At 55.3% G+C, this 17,172-nt stretch overlaps 1 protein-coding gene, 1 long non-coding RNA gene and 1 other non-coding gene across 8 annotated transcripts in view, besides 2 other annotated features; 1 reads left to right on the forward strand and 2 right to left on the reverse strand.

The window, feature by feature from the left end:
* The window catches only part of PDE2A (phosphodiesterase 2A), a 98,282-nt gene that overhangs the window by 26,043 nt on the left and 55,067 nt on the right, over positions 1–17,172 (reverse strand). For all 5 annotated transcript variants that reach the window (NM_002599.5, NM_001146209.3, NM_001143839.4 and 2 more), the window contains 2 exons: positions 6,479–6,568; positions 2,955–3,043 (listed from right to left, as the gene is read on the reverse strand). In NM_002599.5, the coding sequence (NP_002590.1) occupies positions 2,955–3,043; positions 6,479–6,568 (179 nt within the window). The remainder of the gene's footprint in view (positions 1–2,954; positions 3,044–6,478; positions 6,569–17,172) is intronic.
* On the forward strand, positions 4,044–17,006 carry LOC105369377 (uncharacterized). 2 transcript variants are annotated; one of them, XR_001748292.2, is made up of 4 exons: positions 4,044–4,179; positions 11,909–12,119; positions 12,446–12,554; positions 16,761–17,006. It is a non-coding gene; the product is annotated as an uncharacterized LOC105369377 (long non-coding RNA). The 2 variants fall into 2 exon arrangements; XR_007062770.1 differs by lacking the exon at positions 16,761–17,006 and having other exon boundaries at positions 12,446–12,606.
* Positions 11,855–11,954: an enhancer, noted in NCBI's record as "active region_5192". NCBI's record gives its function as "activates an Ori minimal core promoter by ATAC-STARR-seq in GM12878 lymphoblastoid cells {active_cell/tissue: GM12878}" and the evidence as "EXISTENCE:reporter gene assay evidence [ECO:0000049][PMID:35858748]".
* Positions 12,880–12,947, reverse strand: MIR139 (microRNA 139). The gene has a single exon (NR_029603.1). It is a non-coding gene; the product is annotated as a microRNA 139 (primary transcript).
* Positions 16,198–16,717: an enhancer, noted in NCBI's record as "H3K4me1 hESC enhancer chr11:72329425-72329944 (GRCh37/hg19 assembly coordinates)". NCBI's record gives its function as "activates a minimal SCP1, AML or CMV promoter by ChIP-STARR-seq in primed H9 embryonic stem cells {active_cell/tissue: H9 hESC(primed)}" and the evidence as "EXISTENCE:reporter gene assay evidence [ECO:0000049][PMID:30033119]".

A 17,172-nucleotide genomic window follows, 5' to 3' on the forward strand; every position in this document is an offset into this window, starting at 1 on the left:
GCACAAGAAGACAGGAAAGCCAAACACACTGGGGGGATGCAGCTGGGCATCTGAGAGCCCAAACAGCGGCAGGAACAGGGACAGGTGGGGCTGGGAGCTGGCGGGGGCCTCCTCACTCCCGCCTTGACCCTTTTCCACCCTGTCTCTCCCCACACTGCCCTGATCCCATTCCCTGCCCATTGCCTCGGGCCTCCTTATCTGTCTCTATGATCCAGCCTCCACGCCACACCTGCTGCTGTTTGCCCACAGTCCAGGGTTTCCTGGAGTAGCACCCTCCCCACACCCCCACCTCCTCGGGCACTGCTAGAGCCTCAGGCTCCACGGCAGCCTGTAGGTCAGTCCCTCTCCCTCCTGGGGGGACCAGAGCCACAAAGGTCACCATCGGAAGGACCCTGTACCCAACCCCACCCATTTCACAGAAAAAAGGCCAGAAGAGAAGTCGTTTTCTCAAGGTCACTCAAGGCTAATCATTGGTTGGGACTTGGGAGTGCAAGTAGCAATCACTGAGCTCCTACTGTGTGCTGGGCACTGTGCCAAGCACTTGGCCCCTGTTACCCCATTAAGCCAATAGACCGGGCCTCAGGTAGGAAAGCAGAGAGACAGGGAGGGGGCTGAGCTAGAATCCAGACCTGTCTGAATCCCATTCCAGTGCTCTTCCCTCGTCCATACACCTGGGTCTCAAGTCCCCATCCTGCTGGGAGCTCCTGAGAGCAGGGCCCAGCCAACCCTGGGGCCTCTCCGCCCTAACTGTGGAGATGGGCTCACCACCAGACACCAGGCACAAAGGTGGGCAAGCAGAGCTCAGATACCAGAGAGAGCACTGGGCCTGGGCCTTCCCCCAATCCTTTTTCAGGTAGCAGCTGAGCCTGGCAAGCCACTCACCTTTCACAGGGGCCATGGAAAGAATTCCTGTTTGGGGATGATGACGGGTGTGTCCTGATGATGGGTATGTCCCCTGGGAGGTCCTTGCTGTCCTCACTCTCTTGCCTTCTCATCCCCTGGCCCTCCTCCTGGAATCTTCAGCCCCTGTCTACCAGCAGGCACTCACCTCCCCATCTCCACTGAGCTCTGGGATAATTGGATTTGAATATTCACTTTTAATTGCTTTTTTTTTTGGTATTTTTTCCAAAGGCCTTACTGAGTCTGAAGTGGTTGGAAGGAGGATGTTGAAAGGGCAGCTGATGCCAAGGATCTGAGCCCTCTCAAAAATGCCTGGACCGCAGATACGCACCCACTCTACATGCCCAGACAGCTGAGGGGAGCATGTGTGGGTCCTAGGGAGTGAAGCAAACCTGCAGGCTGCTCCCCGCTGCCTCCTGAGCCTGTTTTCCTGCATCCCTCCCAGGAAGGCCTCCCAGGCTGCTCCGAGGAGCCTTCCTGGAGGAGTGGAGCTTATATGAAGCAAAGTTCTTTAGAATTAGAGGTGGGGGATGCTGGAGGAGAGCGAAGTTCTTTGGAATTAGAGGAGAAAGGGGGACATGACCACATTTTTCCCCTTAAGGTTCTAAAGACCTTTCAGACCATCCTCTTACAGACGGGACACAAAGGCTAGAGAGAGGTGGTAATGGCTTTGTTCCCATGCTCCTTGACGGAGAAGTTGTTAGGGGAAGGTGAAAGGAGCTCAGTGGGAGAATAGGAAATGGGAAGGTGGCTATCAGAGCAGAACCAACTCCTTCCACGGGAAAGGGCTGAGGAGAGACCAGCATCCTAGAAACCAGGGTTTCCAGCACAAGGAGGGGCCTCAGGACCATGAGTCCAGCATCCTCAAACAGGAATTCTTTCCATGGTCCCTGTGAAAGGTGAGTGGCTTGCCAGGCTCAGCTGCTACCTGAAAAAGCCACATCCCTGGACCACCTGGCCTGCTGGAAAAGCCCTCCTCACAGGGGTAGAGAGCTGCCTTCTTGGGACATCCCCACTGGTGCCCACTCTGCCCTCAGCTCCTGCCCAGTGCTCCCTGGGCCCCACAATGGCCCTGCATTCAGTGCTTAGCAGGCAATGGCCACATCCTTCAGAGCCTGCCTCCTCCCAGCAGCATGCCTGCCCCCAAGGTTTTCTCATCTGATGAGTTCCACTTCCTCTCACTTTCCCCTAAACAGCCAGGAGTCAGAAGACCCGAGTCCTAGGCCTGGCTCTGCCTCATACCTGGCATGTGGCCTTGGTCATGTCTCATGATATCCACCCATCTGGAAGATGAGGAGGCTGAATTAAATGGGCATCAAGGTATCAGGGGGCCAAGTGCCCTGATCCCATGATCCTGAAGTCAGTGATTCCAGCATTCTCTCACAATGGTAATCCCCAACAGACAGCCCTCACCATGGATCAGGCCTGATTTAAATGCTTTACATGTGTGACACATTTAATCCTCCCCACAATCCTATAAGCACCATTATTATCACCATTTCATAAACAAAACTGAGGCACAGAGAGGTTGTGTCATTTGCCCAAGGTTACACAGCTAGTAAACAGGGAGCTGAGATTTGAACCCAGGCAGTGGGGCTCCAGAACCCTCAGCAGGACGCTGCCTGTGATCTCCCTGTTCTCAGATGCAAGGAGTTGGCACTGTGAGCTCCTGCAGGCCCAGCATGCTGGGATTCCAGGTCCAGCCTCGCAGTAGTTCTCACAGCATGCCGGTGTTCTAACTGATACACCCCATAGCCCCAATGTTCTGAGACTCTGCTCTGAGGAGGCTGCAGCCATTTAGAAGCAATTAGAAGGAGAAAATTTACCATCAATTGGTATTTTCTCTGTGCCTATCCATTTCCCCAAGGAAGAGAAGACATTGCTTCTGCCCTTCTGTGCTGGAGTCAGCAACCTGGCCAAGGAATCCCACCTGGCAGGGAGGCGGGGATCAATGTTGGAAGGGGAGGGTCAGACCAGATGACCTTGGATGGTGCCTCAGCCCTGAGAATCCTTGGCCATGCAAGAGGGCAATGGGGGTGCAGAGAATGGCTCACCGGACTTTCCCCTCCTGGGGCAGCTCATGTGGGGGGTCCTCACACACCAGCTGGGACTCACCATCCAGTAGGTAGGTGTAGACAGTTTCCTAGGACAGAAGGCACTTATGAGACCCTGTGGAGAGGCCCTCCCAGCTGCCCAGTCCCAGCCTGTACACAGGGGTCTGTGGGGCAAGGTCATGGAACCTGTGGGAGTGGAGCTCTGGCAATGATCTGTTTGTTTTTCTCTCCAGGTGATTCTAAGATGCAGCCAGGGCAGCAAAACACCCGGTGAACTAAGCACCTCGTCCTCTCCTCTTGGACGGAATTCTAAGCAGGCAATGATTCATGAACCTATGACCTTTTTTACCACCCAAAACCCAATGTGCCAGGTAAAGAGTTTCAAGGACTGAGGGTGCAGACAAATCACCTCCCACCTGGGATATTTCCCTGCCTGACTCCAGCCTCAGGCATTCAGCAAACAATAACTGAGCATCCACTCTGAGCTGTACCAGGGATGGGGCTCAGAATGTTCTAGGAAGCATCCCTCCTTCACCTCTACAAGAAACCACACACCCATAACCCCAGCCAGGGGAGGAACACAGAGCAGGGCACTGCGCCATCCTCCGGTGGGGCTGGAGAGGGCTTCCTGGAGGAAGTGACCTTTCAGCTGTCACTGAGTGGGAATTAGACACATTCAGGGAGTGGGCAGGGTGCAGAATGGGCTCCCAGGCCTTATAGCAGGTACACAGGTAGGTCCAGAGGCGTATAAAGCATGGAGCATTTAGGAACAGACAGTGAGGGAAGGGGCACAGGGGCTGGGCCCAAGGTCAGTAGGGCTGAGTGGGATGGGCTTACGAACAGAACTGGGGCAGGGCAGGACGTGCACAGGGAGACGTGAGCAGATTTGTATTTTGGACCGATTACTCCTCAGAGGGAGATCAAAGCTCTTGCTCTTTAATCCTCCCTCCCCAAGGGCCCAGAGCAGCTCTGGCCTCAGTTCCAGGCCATGTCTTGGCAGAAGTAGTTGCCCTCACTGACCTACAGGCAAAAATCCACATTCCTTCCAAGCAGAACTGGCAACCCTTCGGGATCCCTGACCAACCCCCATGCAACGCAGCCTTGTCCACAACTCTGCTGTTTTCTCCGCAGGAGGATGGAGAAGGGCTTGCCTCCCAGCTGAGGGTATCCTGGAGGGCTTTGGGAGGAGCTGACAGTGGAGCTACGTGTTGAAGGCCCACCCTCAGTAAGTGTGGAATCCTTCCCAGAAGAAGCAGTTGCCTTCCATGACTCTGAGAGCGTCCACAATCCTGCCAGCCACTCTTCTTGTCATCAGCTGTCGCCAGCCAGCCCCCACCACAGGAGATGCCTGGCCACTACTTCCAGAGACACTGAGCCAGGTTCCGTGGTGGGTGTGGCATGGGGTGGGAATGATAAGGCCTGAAGGGAGTGAGAGGGGCAGACACCCTCTTGTTTGGCTGGAAGGAAACCTAAGTGGGATGTTCAGGGATAAAGAATTCAGTGGGAAGGAGGCCGCCCACTCTTCGGCTATATCTAGCCTCCTTGTCATCCATCTCTTCCAGCAGCCTGGGAGGGGCCTGAGTTATTTGGCCCAAAGAGGTTAAGAGACCAGCCGGGGTTACACAGAAAGTCCTGCCCAGGCAGAGGGAGGGGTGGGTAGTCCATGGGGGCAGAGGGGGACAGATTCTCGCTTCACTTCCGCATGTCCGTATGTCTCCCACCCCCTTACTCTCAGCCCTCTGGGTTAAAATTAGCTGAGTCTATTGGAGAGAAGGAGGGAACCATTTCAGACACATCAGCACCATCTGCATTCGGGGCTGCCTGCCACAATGGGTGCTGATGAGGAAGCCAGGTGCCAGCAGCTCTCCTCCCTGGGCGGGGGTCCCCTCCCCATCTCTGCTTCCCTCCCTGGGGGCAGCAGAGCAGACCTCAGCTCCCTTACCTCACTGGGGGCTGAGCCCCTCCGTGCAATCAAGCCAGGACTCCCGAAAGTCAGGGCTTCCCTAGCTCCTATAGGGCTCTTGGGTGGGCCAGGGCTGACATTTCCCACTGTCCCAGGAACCTGGACCACAGCTGTCATCCCAGCCCCCAGCTTTGGGGAGACAATTAATCTGTTGCAGAGCATCTAGGCTGGCACAGCCGCCAGGGCACCCTGCCTGTGAAACAGAGCCAGTCACTTCCTCCTCCCACCCTACGGCAGCCTCAGTGGCCACAGAGGCTCTCGGGGCAGCCCTACAGAAACCGACCTGCCAGTTTCCACCACCCTCCCTTTCCAGATGTGCCTTCACCCCAGCCCAGATGTTGCCTTAGTCCCGTCCTTCTCCAGGAGGATTTATTTTTGGGCGCCAACACACCACCCACTTCCTACCAATTTCACACTCAATAAAGCTCACTCATTAGCCCTCCTCCTGGGCTCTGAACTTCTAGGAGGTTTGGGGAAGGCAGAGCTGAGGAGAGGGAATGGGGCTGCTTAGATACCAAGTCCCATTTATCCCTGTCATGCTGTGTGACCTTGGGACAAGTGCCCTCTCTCTCTGGGCCTCCGGTGGTTCATCCATCAAGCAGATTCAGGGACAATGGGCTCTGGAGGGATGGGAAGGTCACATTCTGAGTTGGCCATATTTCCTGGAGCAGAGGCTGCCCTTGGCCGGGTTTAGAGTAGGGAAGAGGACATTCAAGGCTATCAGGACTCAGTTAGGGCATCTCCTCCTCCAGGAAGTCTTCCATGCCCCTTAGGCTGGATCAGACTCCCTTCTCCAGGCTTCAAACGTCCCCTGCTTCCCTCTTTCTGGTGCAACTAACACCCTGCTACTTTGGGCCTCAAGGGCTGGTTTACCCATCCTCCTGCCTAAGGGATGAACAGTGGCCATTGAAGCCAGGTAGGGGAGTGGCCTGGAACAGATGATGAGGGGCACAATCTCCCCAGTAAGGCACTCTGGGCTCAGGCAACCATGATCACCCCAAACCTGCCCCAAACCTGCAACTCATCCATGGTATTGGGATGGGACAGAAAGAAAGCTGCTAAAAGGCTGCTAGAGGCCATTTTTCCAGCCTCCCATCTCCAGGCAGGGCACTTTAACCCAATGCATGTCTATTCATCAAAGCTGAGCCCTATTCTAGTACCTCCCAGACCTGGCTTCCAGGAAGTTCTTCTACATGTCTACCCTCAACTTCTCCTGCTGCATGTATTCCAAAACTCAGCTGGCTCCACCACGTCCTGTTATCCTAGGTGAATCCCTTTCATTATCTGAGACACAGCTTTTCCACTTAACCTCTAAGGCCCCTTCTGGCTCAGCCATTGCAGGATTCCTATGCAAGTTCATTCCTTGATGCTTAGCTTCAGGCTTCCTCCTCCAGAAAGCTGTCTCAGAACACCCATCCAGACCCTTCACTTCCCCATGAAAGTCCTCTGGGCAGGGACCCTGCCTCTTCCTTCCTCCTTGGCCCTGAGTGAGGTACAGCATAGAGCTGGTCAAAGGATTTGGGGGTGGGGTGGGAAGCGTGGGGCAAGGGCGGGCACCTACCACTCGGGGGAGCACAGCTGACAGGGCCTCCTTGACAGCACGTTGCAGGCCTGAAATGTCGATGACAGAGCCCAGACTCAGCAAGGCGTCCTGGAAGAGAGGAGAGGGCAGTGAGAGGCTTTGCCAGGCAGGCCAGGGCAGCCCCATCTGCCCAAAGGACTGTGAGCAAAACCCCCCAGCTTAGTCCAGAGCCCGAGTCTTTCAGGCACAGGAATCCCAGGATCTTAGGATCTCAAAATCAAACAGTCTTAAGGCCACAGAATGTCCAAGTACCCTCATCTTACAGGTGGGGAAACTGAGGCGCAGAGAAGGGCCAGGGACTTAGCAAAGGCCTCATAGTGAGTCAACAGGTCAAGCCTGGCCTAGACCCCAGGTCTCTTGTTCTCTAGTCGAGGACAATTCTGGCACAGTAGGGAAACCACAAGGCTCCAAATTAAAACAAAACAAGCAAACAAAAAAACACCCAAATTTGAATCCTAGCTCCGCTGTGTATGAGCAGTGAGTGTCTTGGTTCAGTCACTGAGCCTCAGTCTCCTATCTGTAAGTTGGAAGCAGCTGGGGCTATTGCCCCCTACAGGCTGACATGAAGATAAAATGAAATTGAGCCCTTAAAAATGAAAATAAAAATCAGAGTCCTAAAAGTGCCTCACAGAATGCCCAACACAGAGTAGATGCTCAGCTGAATATTCGCTGAAGCTGGGTCCCGCTCACTTTCCCCAGAAGGAAGGTGGTCTCACCTAGTCTCATTTTCCAGCCTAGTGAGGGGCTGGGTTGAGAGTAGCAAGAGCCTATGGGGTGCATAACCCATAAGGTGGGAGAACAGCTGGGCCACCCCTGGCAACTATAGGAGGAGAAGGAGACGTCAGCCTTGACTGTCTCACAGCCTTCCCATCCCAGGAACAGAACTCGTCCTTGCAGAGCCGGAACGGAGACAAAAGTCCCTGCTTCTCGCTCTATTAACTTGGCCAGAGCCATGGGGATCAAAGAGAAAGGTAACAGAACAAAGGAAACGAGGGCCAAGGCAAGATCGTGACTCATACCAGCCACCAGCCATGCCCTCCCGCAAGCCCTTGGAAGTCCTTTCAGATGTCTTCCCAGTGGAAGGTTGGGTCTGTGTTCAGAAAGCAAAGTGATTAACTGCAAGATGAAGGAGACATGGCTGGGTCCCCATTCATGTGAACATGATATGAGGTTGAGGGTCTTAAAAGACCACAGTTCAGCATGAGCCCACAGTGTAAGCATGACTGGCAAGAAATAAAAATGCTCAAATTGCAGGCCATATTAATAGAGGTCTGTTAACCCAATTGGGAAGATGACAGTTCCCCCACTTTTATAGTCTAGTTAGACCATCCCCTGTTCATTGTGTCCCAGGGGCTGACAAGATGACACTCATCCAGAGGAGGCGACCTATGAAACGAGGGAATTGGAAACCAAGTTTTGCATGTGACTAAGACTGGATAACCCAGGGATGCCTCATCTAAAGCAGAGGAGACCCAGGGTTATCAGTCTCCAACTCCAATCTCTCAGACCCTCCTAGATGGGGGATCTGAACTCTGTGGCCCCATGGACAGCCTGGGGACCCATAGGATTTCACAGGAGGCTGGCCTTGGTCTAGTGGGCTGAAGGACCTTCTTCCAGGTAGGGCCATGCTACAAAGGCATGCCACAGGTCACCAGGAGAGAGGGAGGAAGTGAGCTTCCCATCCTCAAGGGTGCACAAGAGTGGGCTGAATGCCTATTTGCCAGAAAGTTCCACGCTGGGCTCTCAATGAAGACTTGCATCCAGGCTTCAGCTCCAAATTTCACTCCTGGGTCTTCTTGGCTGCAGTTTCCTCCCCTTCCCCCACCCAATCCAGTGTTCCCAGGAGGAGGGCAGTAGTGGGCCTTCTCCCCAGATGCTTACTCAGCATCGCTTTCCCCAACCCCCAGGCTTCCTTGGTCCCTCCCACTGCTCAAGGATGAAGACACATATCTTGGTCATGGGAAGATGTCTACCCTCAGACATCAGAAGCTACTGATTCCAGACAACACAATACCCAAATTGGATCACTTGTCTTTTGACCCTTAGGCACTCCTCATCACAGCACAGACAACTTCAGCACCACACAGCCACAGATCCCACGTCCTCGCAGACATCCCAGCAGGCCTTCAGACACCATCCATGTGCGCACACACACACACGTTCTCACTGGTACAGTTCCTTAAAGATTCACAGGGCAAGAGCTCGAGTGATACCTGTGCACAATACACGCAGGCTATTATGGCCTTCCAAGGTCAATTCTGAAGACTAAAAAGGGGAGGAAGAGCTGATGCCCCCAGTACTCCCAAGATAAAGTCTTCCAGATGCACGCTCCCCAGACGGGGGCTCTAAAGACAGCACAGAAGGTGGTGTTGGTTTGTGTCTATTCCTTCTTGGAGGCAGAGGAGCCCACAAGCTGACTCCTGAGAGGCCCTGCCCTTGGTGGAGTCTGATGCATGTGATGTGGACTTGGGGAAGAGAGACCCAGGTGACGGAGTGAGCCTGATACAGGGGGAGAAATTCTTCAAAGCCACAGCCTTCAGAGAGCTAAGTCTCCCCATTTGACCGATGAGGAAGCTGAGGTTCAATGAGAAGCAATGATCAACCTGTGGTCAGACAGCCAGTCAGAGCAGAGCCAGGTCCAGAACCCAAACCTCTGGATCTCTAGCCCTGTCTGGTTCCTGCTCAGCACCCGATCCCCAGCTCCCACCCTAGGGTGCTCAGAAAGAACAGTCTGTCCTTTATTCTGATTGGTGGACTCCTCAACCTGCCCTTTGCTTCAATTGGGGAATGCCCTCAACTGTCCTTTACTGGAATTGGTGGGTGCCTGCCTGACCTTTGCTCTGATTGTTCAGTTTTCTGTGACTTTTCAGGCCAAGTGCAGGATAGTAGCAATAAGGAGAGCAGGAAAGGAAAGTTGGGGAGAGTTGGGGCAGCAGCAGGGAAGGGCTTCCCATCTGTGCTAGAGCGGACTGGATGGTAATGTGACTGATGAAGCCCAGGGCTCTTTGTGGGCATCCTTCTGTCAATCCACCTCCTGGTCCTGCCCAGCATGCCCCAGGAATGGAGGGTGTTGGGTGCAGGAACTGCAGCTGGGAAGGGCCACTTCAGATCTGGCACTCAAAGGGGCCTTCAAGGCTTGCTCAAATGCCATCTCCTCCATGAATCTTCCTCAGATCTCAAAGCAACTTCACCCCCATTGCACCAACTCAGGGGAGGAAATAGCTCAAATTGCAAAGCCCATGAGGTGTGGGCTCAGAGGGAAGAGTTGCTGCTTCAGTGAAGGAAGGAGAGAATCAGTGGGGAGCAGCTGCTAATGGGAAGCAGGGAGATTCCTGAATTGGAGGCACAGATGGGGAGCAAGGCTCAAGTCAGGGGGCTTCGATCTTAAAAGGAAGAGGAAAGGAAAAATACAGACACAGCTTTACCTGCTCACATGCCCATCTACACATGCCACACAAATACATATTGCTACGCACTCCTCTACTCATACGTATATGCACAGGCTCTCACACAAACACGCACACAGACAGATCAAAAGGCAATCATATATTCAATGCATATACAAGGTTGCACTTAGACATGCACATCACATCCACACACACACACACACACACACACACACACACACACACACACACAGAACTCAGGCTCGGGATGGGGTGAAGGAGGTCACATTTCCTGCCTTCACAGCTTTTTGGAACAAATATCAGTATAGATATCAGCATAAAAACCAGGCAATTTCCCAGACCACAGAGGAGAACTTGTGGTGTGTAGAAAAGAGCCGCAATTTCCAATCCTGTACCAGACTGACTACAGAAGTTCTGTGTGGCCTTACGCAACACCTTTCCTCTTCTGAGCCTCAGTTTTGTCATTACTAAAAAATGGATCTTTCTAGCTCTGCAGCATATAGTTCTATGGTTTAATTCAATGAGGCTGGATGGATGAGTGGGTAGGTGGATAGATGAATGGGTGCAGGATGGGTTGGGGGAGGGATGGTGGATGGATGGGTGGGTGGATGGTGGGTGGATAGGTAGATGGGTGGCTGGGTGGGTGGGTAGATGGATAGATGGAGCCTTTCTGCTCTCTCCAGCTCCACCTGCAGCTCTGTAGTCCAAGGTAAGGCCAGTCAGCACCACAGACAGCACCATTACCACGGACTTAGCTTTCATTCACCCCAGGTACCAAGAAAGGGGAGCCTGTTCTGAGTCAGGCCTCCTCTGAAGCCAGGGTTGGGGCTCAGCCGTGGGCTAGATCTGCATTTCTGCACTTATCTGGGGAGAGGAGAGGGTCTGGACTAAATTACTTCTAACTCGTTCTTAAAGCCTAAGATTCTATGAAACCAGAGACCTTGGTCTTATCCCCTTTGGAGCCACAAGCACAAGACCAACGCCCTTCCTGAGGGTTGGGGTCGCTGCCATAAGATCTTTCCTGTTTCATCTTCATGAGTCTCTATGCCTTTCCCCATCTCCACAGGTCCTCCTATGGCTCACCCCACTGCCTGGCACTGGCTCCATGCCTCCTTCTCTGGAAGGAAGCCTCACAGTGCCCCTCACACTGGCCTACAGGAAGGCAATAACATCAAACTCAAGAGTCAAGTACCTCCCAAGGTCCGGCTGTGCTCTTGGGACTGTCCGTTCACACTGATTCATGCAACTCTGCTTGTGTTAGGTCCTCTGTGAGGCCCTCCTCTCTCTCTGGGCCTTGGTGTCCCCTTCTGTAAAGGGAAGGGTCCTTCTAGATCCCCCAGGACCTCGGAGCCCTCTCATTCTCTGTCCATCATCCCTTCCCTTCCTTTCGGGTGGACCTCCCTGCCTTCCTCCCTGCCTCCCCCGGCCGACGTCCACCTCTGTCCCAGGCTGCACTCCTGTTCCTCTCCAGGAGTCTTGACGTCTTTTCCCACCTCCGCGTCCTCTCTTCCTCTCATAGCTTCTCCTCCCACTCTCCATCTCTCTCCTGCATACTTCCTGCCCCCACCTACTCCTGTGTCTCCAGCCCACTCCTCCCACAAACCTCCAAATAGTCACCTTGAGAACACTGGGAGAAAGCACCTAACTCAAGAGAAGCGCCCACAGAATGGGAAACCCAGGAAGGCAGCTAGAGGGGAAACAGGGGGTGCCAGGCAAGTGTCATCTACGCCTCTTTTGCTTCCTGCCTCCTGTTCCGGTGGGCAATATACACAGCCTCTTATCTTCCCAGAGGACAGGGCCCTTCAAGAGCACAGGAGAACGTATCGACCTCTGTGCCTAGCATGGGTCTGGCACTAGCAAGCACAGCCGCCCAGTCAGGGTGACTGGCAGAACTGCCCCAAAGGAGGCATCCTGTAGGCTCAGACCAGAGAAGCCCGCTTCAGCTGAGCCTCGGCCCCTGGCCTCAGCCCAGCACCCAAGCTGACTCTATGCCTCCTCGCAGCCTTACAGCACCCCCAGCCTGCAGAGTCAGAGACAAGAAAGCAGAACAAGGCGGTTCCTCCTCCTTCCTCCCCACACACCCACGCCTGCCACCTGGCCAAGGAGACGCCTCTCAAAGACACTGGTGCCTTGGATGTGCAAAGAGGAACTGCCTGTGAGTGCGAAGATCTTGCAGCCCCAGACTTCTCTCAATGAGGCTGAGCTGGATCAGGGTGAGGAGAATAGAGGAAAGAGGCTTGGCAACCCTTGGGAGGCTTAGTCTGAAGGAGGAGGCAAGACAGAGACCCAGAACGCAGCTGAACTAGCCCAACTGTCAGTGTCATGCTTGAGTGAGGCATCAGGCTTTGGGGAGGGGAAGGTACCTTTCCCAAGCACCTCCTGTGGCTAGAGGTTTCCACCAGCCGTTCCCCAATTTTCATGTGCACCAGAACCACCCAGAGTGCTTGTTAAAGTGCAGATTGCTGGCCCCACCCCCAGGGTTTCTGATACAGTAGGTCTGGGACGAGGTCCAAGAACTTGCGTTTCCAAACATTCCTAGATGACACTGATGCTGCTGGTCGGGGGACCACACCTCGAGACCCACTGACACTATCTTGGATCCTCCTACAAGCCCAAGAGGTGCCTGTTTGGGTCATCCCATTGTACAGGTGAAGAGGCTAAGGACTGGAGGGGAGGGGCCTTGCTCAGGTGAGAACAGCCAATGAGGGGACGCCCCAGGGAAGGTCCCAATGGAGGGGAGAGGCTGGGGGTGGAAGGACAGAGGGAGACTAGTGGTGGGGAGATATGGATAACAAGGCAGTATGGACGGGGCCACTCGCAGCGCAGGAGCCCAGTCTTAAAGGAGGGACCTGCCAGAGACCTTTCCTCCTCCCTCTTTCTCTTCCTCCCCTCCCTCCTCTACTTACCCCCTCCCGCTCCATGCCCCCATCCCTCCACCCTCCTGCCCACCCTTCGCAGACTCCGGCTTCAGTTGTTACTCCAACAGGGCCGCGTCTCCAGCCTCCGAGCCACACTGGAGACACGTGCACTGTAGAATACACCTGAGCCAGTCCCAGTGCCTCCCAAGGGTGTCCCCATCCACAGGAGCCTGACCCCACACTGTTGGCTCCTCCCTTCCAGCGCCCACAACCAGCTCCGCCCCGGCCTCTCGCCCTTCCCAAGCCAGTCCCAGCTTCTATTCCAGCTCCTGCCTCCTCCAAAATGACCTCCCGGTTGTCCCCCGCACCCTTGGATCCATCAGGAGCTAGGTTTGGGGGTGGATGAAGGAATGGGAAGAGGGAAAGAGCAGGAGAAGGCAGGCAAGAGTTGCCTGCACGATCAGTTCCCTGAGGGCCTGACTCACTGGAATCACCTCAGTCCCTCACCCAGAGTCTGGAGTCAGGAAAGGAGGGAACAGTCAGAGTGGGTAGAGGGAGGGAGGCAGGAGCTGAGTGTGGGGAGGGGGAGGATGGCCCTGCAAGGCAGACATCAGATCAAGCGGGGCAGAGCCAGCTCAGGTCTCCTCCCACCCCCTCCCACCTTCAGCTGCTTCATCTACAGGGAAGAACCGAGAGTGGTCCCATTTCTGCTGCCCACATTCTCCTGGACACCACAAACTTCCTCCCAAACACATCACAGCATCCCCCTCTCCATGCCATCACAGTCATCCTGGTCACCTGGCATTCTAGCTATCCTTGTCCTCTGGCCTGGGGCCCACGAGGCAGCTCGCGGCAGTCACAAGGAGGCAGATTTGGGCACACTGTGAATCAGAGTCGCGCCACAAAAGAGAGCCTGAGCAGGATGGATGAGGGGGCTCCTAGTCCCCAAGGGTGTGCAAGCAAGGGCCAAGGCCCTGCCACCAGGGAGCCTGTGCCCTGAGAAAGGCCCCTGGTGAGGTGGCAGGCCTCCAGCTCTGAGTTTGGTGACCCTGAATGTCTGTACACCCTCCTCAGCCTCACCCCCTCAGGGTGGGTTGGGAGCTGAGCAAAGCAAGTCCAGGAGCCTCCAAGAGGCAGGCATGGTGGCTCAAGCAGGAGAGGAGGAGGACGCTGAGTGTCCCGCTGGGTCAGTGTCAGAAGAGAGTTTACATCCCTCAGGAAATGATGGCCAAAGGAATAATTGAATGGGTGGATGGATGAATGACGAATGAATGAATGGAGTGATCTCCCTTCTCTGGATCCCCTCCAGGGAGAGTCTGTTGTTGTTCTCTCTCCAGGCAAGTCTGACCCTCCCACCTGGGGCTCCCACTGCCCCCCTTTCCCCCACCATGGCATGCACTGTGTGCATCAATGCAGTGCCACCCTTTCCCGTCTGGCTCCCACAACAGACTGGGAGCTTTTGGAGGGCAGAGATTGTGTCCTGCCCCTCTCCAGGTCTCCAGCATTACCCAGCCCCTCATAGGTGTTGGTAGGCGTTTGCTGAGCTGTAAATGACTGGGTAAACTCCTGTGTGCCCAGGACTACTGTACTGTGAGGGCTACATGCCATCAGGGAGAAGAGGGGTGTGGAGGAAGGATCTAGGCAGGGGAGATAGCTGAGACCTCTCAAAGCCTCCCCAGTCTGGCACAGTTACAGTCTCAGAGAAGGAGCCTGAGGAATGGGGTGTCTCCTACTGAGAGCCTTTGGCAACCTCTCCCAGGCACCTCTGCAGGCCGGGAGGCCCTTTGTGCTTCAGGATCATCTCCACGTGCAGACCGGGTGGGGGCAGCAGGTCAGGATGGAGGGCTCTTCCCCAAGAGGAGCACTGTCACTATCACCTTCTTTCATGAGTGAGGACACCTCCTCCAGGAAGCCTTCCTGCGTGGTCACCTGTCCCCCTCCCAGGCCTTCTGAGAATTCCCAGGGACCAGGGGCTACAGGGCCTCAGGCCTCATGTAGTCCAATCCCAAGCTTGATGGGGTAGACTAAGGCCAGAGGAGGCAGGGAAGGATTCACCCAGGCTCTCATCTGGAGCCAGGAGACCCATGCTTCAGCCCAGCCCTTTGGGCCACACTAGGACACCTTGTCCCAGAGTCCTGCTTGTCTTTGGGGCCCCTCTAATACCTGCCTTGGCCAGGGGATGGGCTGAGCCCTCTCAGATGTCGGGTAAGGCTGAGTATCTGCCTCCAGGCCAGAGACTGGGTCTCTTATGTCCTCACTGTGCCCATTGTGTGTGGGAGGTAAATGCTGAAGGAGGCGGCCTGGCCTAGGGTTAGTGTGGGCCTGCAGAGGGCGGGGAGGAAGGGCCAGCCTGGGGTAGGGCTGGTGGGGTGGATGGCGGGAGGCAAGCCCAGCCATGCTGGTCTTCTTAGGGACAAGATAGAGAGCAGGGCACAGAGGCTGGCTGCCCGGTGATGCCTGCCCTGGGGCTCTCCCTGACTGTCCCAGCGTGTTTTCTCCCTGCCTCTCAGCCTCCCTGGGCGCTCTCTCTGTGCCTGGCCACCTCTCTCTGTCTGTGCTCTGCGGCATGTGTGTATCCCACAGCCTCCCGCTGCTTTGTCCTATGACTGTATTTGGCTCTCTCAACAGAGCTTGGCCCATCCCAGCTGTTCCCCAAACCCCAGGGGGAGGGGGAAAGTGGAAGTATGAGAAAGAGAGACAGGGACAGAACAAGTACCAATTCAGAAGCAGAGGGATAGACATAAGAGCCGGTAGGGAACCCCAGGGACAGGCGGAGGCTGGAGAGGCAGGGCTGGCTGGGGAAGCCCCTGAGGAGAAGTCCCTGAAGACCAAGGCAGAGTTGGGAGAAGAGCGGGGTCCACCCTCTTCCTCTGCACTGACTCCTGCCCCCTTTCCCTCTCTCTGCCCCTGCAGGAATGTGTGAGCACTTTTATTGTTCCTAAAAATAGCCTTTCTCTTTGGGGGGTTGGGATAAGCAATCTTCTGAGTGGGGTCCGTCTGGGGCACGCCTGCCCTCCGGGGTCCCAGCCACCATGCTCCCCAGGGCCGGGGTCTCTCAGCTCCTCTCTCCCAGCGCAGTGCTTTGTTAAACATAAATGTGACCCTGTCCCTCCCTTGCACAAGACTGTCATAGCTCCTGGGAACACCCCCTCCCCTCCTCCAGAGTGACAGGCTCCGAGCAAAGTGCTCAGCACACAGCCTGGAGCAGGGCTCGTGGTCACCTTACCTCATCAAGGAGCTGAGGGTGAGGAGCTGCTCGCTCCCTCCATCCAGGCACTGCCTGCTCTGGCCTCAGGCCTCTTCGCAGCGCCCCAGTCTGATTCCCTGCACCCCTCCAGCCTCCCCACTCCCAGCCTTTGCTCCTCCGTTTCCTGCACTGTGGTGTCCTCTCTTCTCTCCTGCTCTTCCTGCTCTGGCCCTCCAGAAACCCCCAGCCCTCTCCCCTGGTCTTGTCCTCCCCCTATCACTGGGACTCTCATCCTTCTCCCGTCCCCCTCACAGAGCAAGCAAGGGGCTGAGCCACAGGGCCCTGGGCAGGTGGGGCACCAAGGCACAGAGCCCTCCTCCAGTGAGGGAGAGAGTTGGCGGAGACATGGCAGGCTCTGGGGCCCCACGCACTCCCCTGAACCCAGACCTTCTTTGCCCCCCTTCATGTGCCCTCCCCAGCTTTGGTTGTCTTTTCTGGACCCCGGGCCTGAGTCTCTGTCTCTCTAATCAGTCTCCAGGAGAAAGCCCATCCAGTCTCATCTCCTTCCCACCTCCATTTTTCAGATGAGAGAGCCAAGCCCCAGAGAGGGGAGGCGATGGGCCTACGAGCCCATGGGACGCTGGCCATGGGCCTTGGTCACTCTGCCTCATTACACAGGGTCCCGGTCAGTGGGGCCACAGGGGCTGAGGCAGGCTGTCATACAGCCCACCTCCCAACATAAACAGCCCACCTCTCCACCCAGCCCGCCAGGCAGGCAGGCTGACATCCAGAGTTATTTTCCTTTGAAGGGCCCAGGAAGCCAGAGAACAAACATCCGGAGTCTCTGGAATCTCTCCTACTTTCCTTCCTCACATCCCGAGGATCTGGGAGCCAGCATGAGCATGCACACAGCGTGCGCACACACACACACACACACGCACACACTGGGCTGGGTAAATATGTCAGCCTGGGATATCTTGTGGGACTGTTGTGAATCTGTGGGTGCCTTAGAACCCCAAAGCCTTGAAAAGATGATGATGCCCTCCCACCAGACCCTCGGACCCTCTATACAATTCAAACTAAATTTTATCTTGGAAATGAAAATTAAAATAGTTTTTGTGTGGTTTTTCTGATTGCAAAATTCTGGATACACTCATCAGAACTGACCTCTCCTCTCACTCTGTGCAGAACTCCCGCTTTGCTGGGGACCTAAGCATGTGT

The sequence above is a fragment of the Homo sapiens genome, chromosome 11, assembly GCF_000001405.40.
Source record: "Homo sapiens chromosome 11, GRCh38.p14 Primary Assembly".
Classification (NCBI taxonomy): Eukaryota; Metazoa; Chordata; class Mammalia; order Primates; family Hominidae; genus Homo; species Homo sapiens.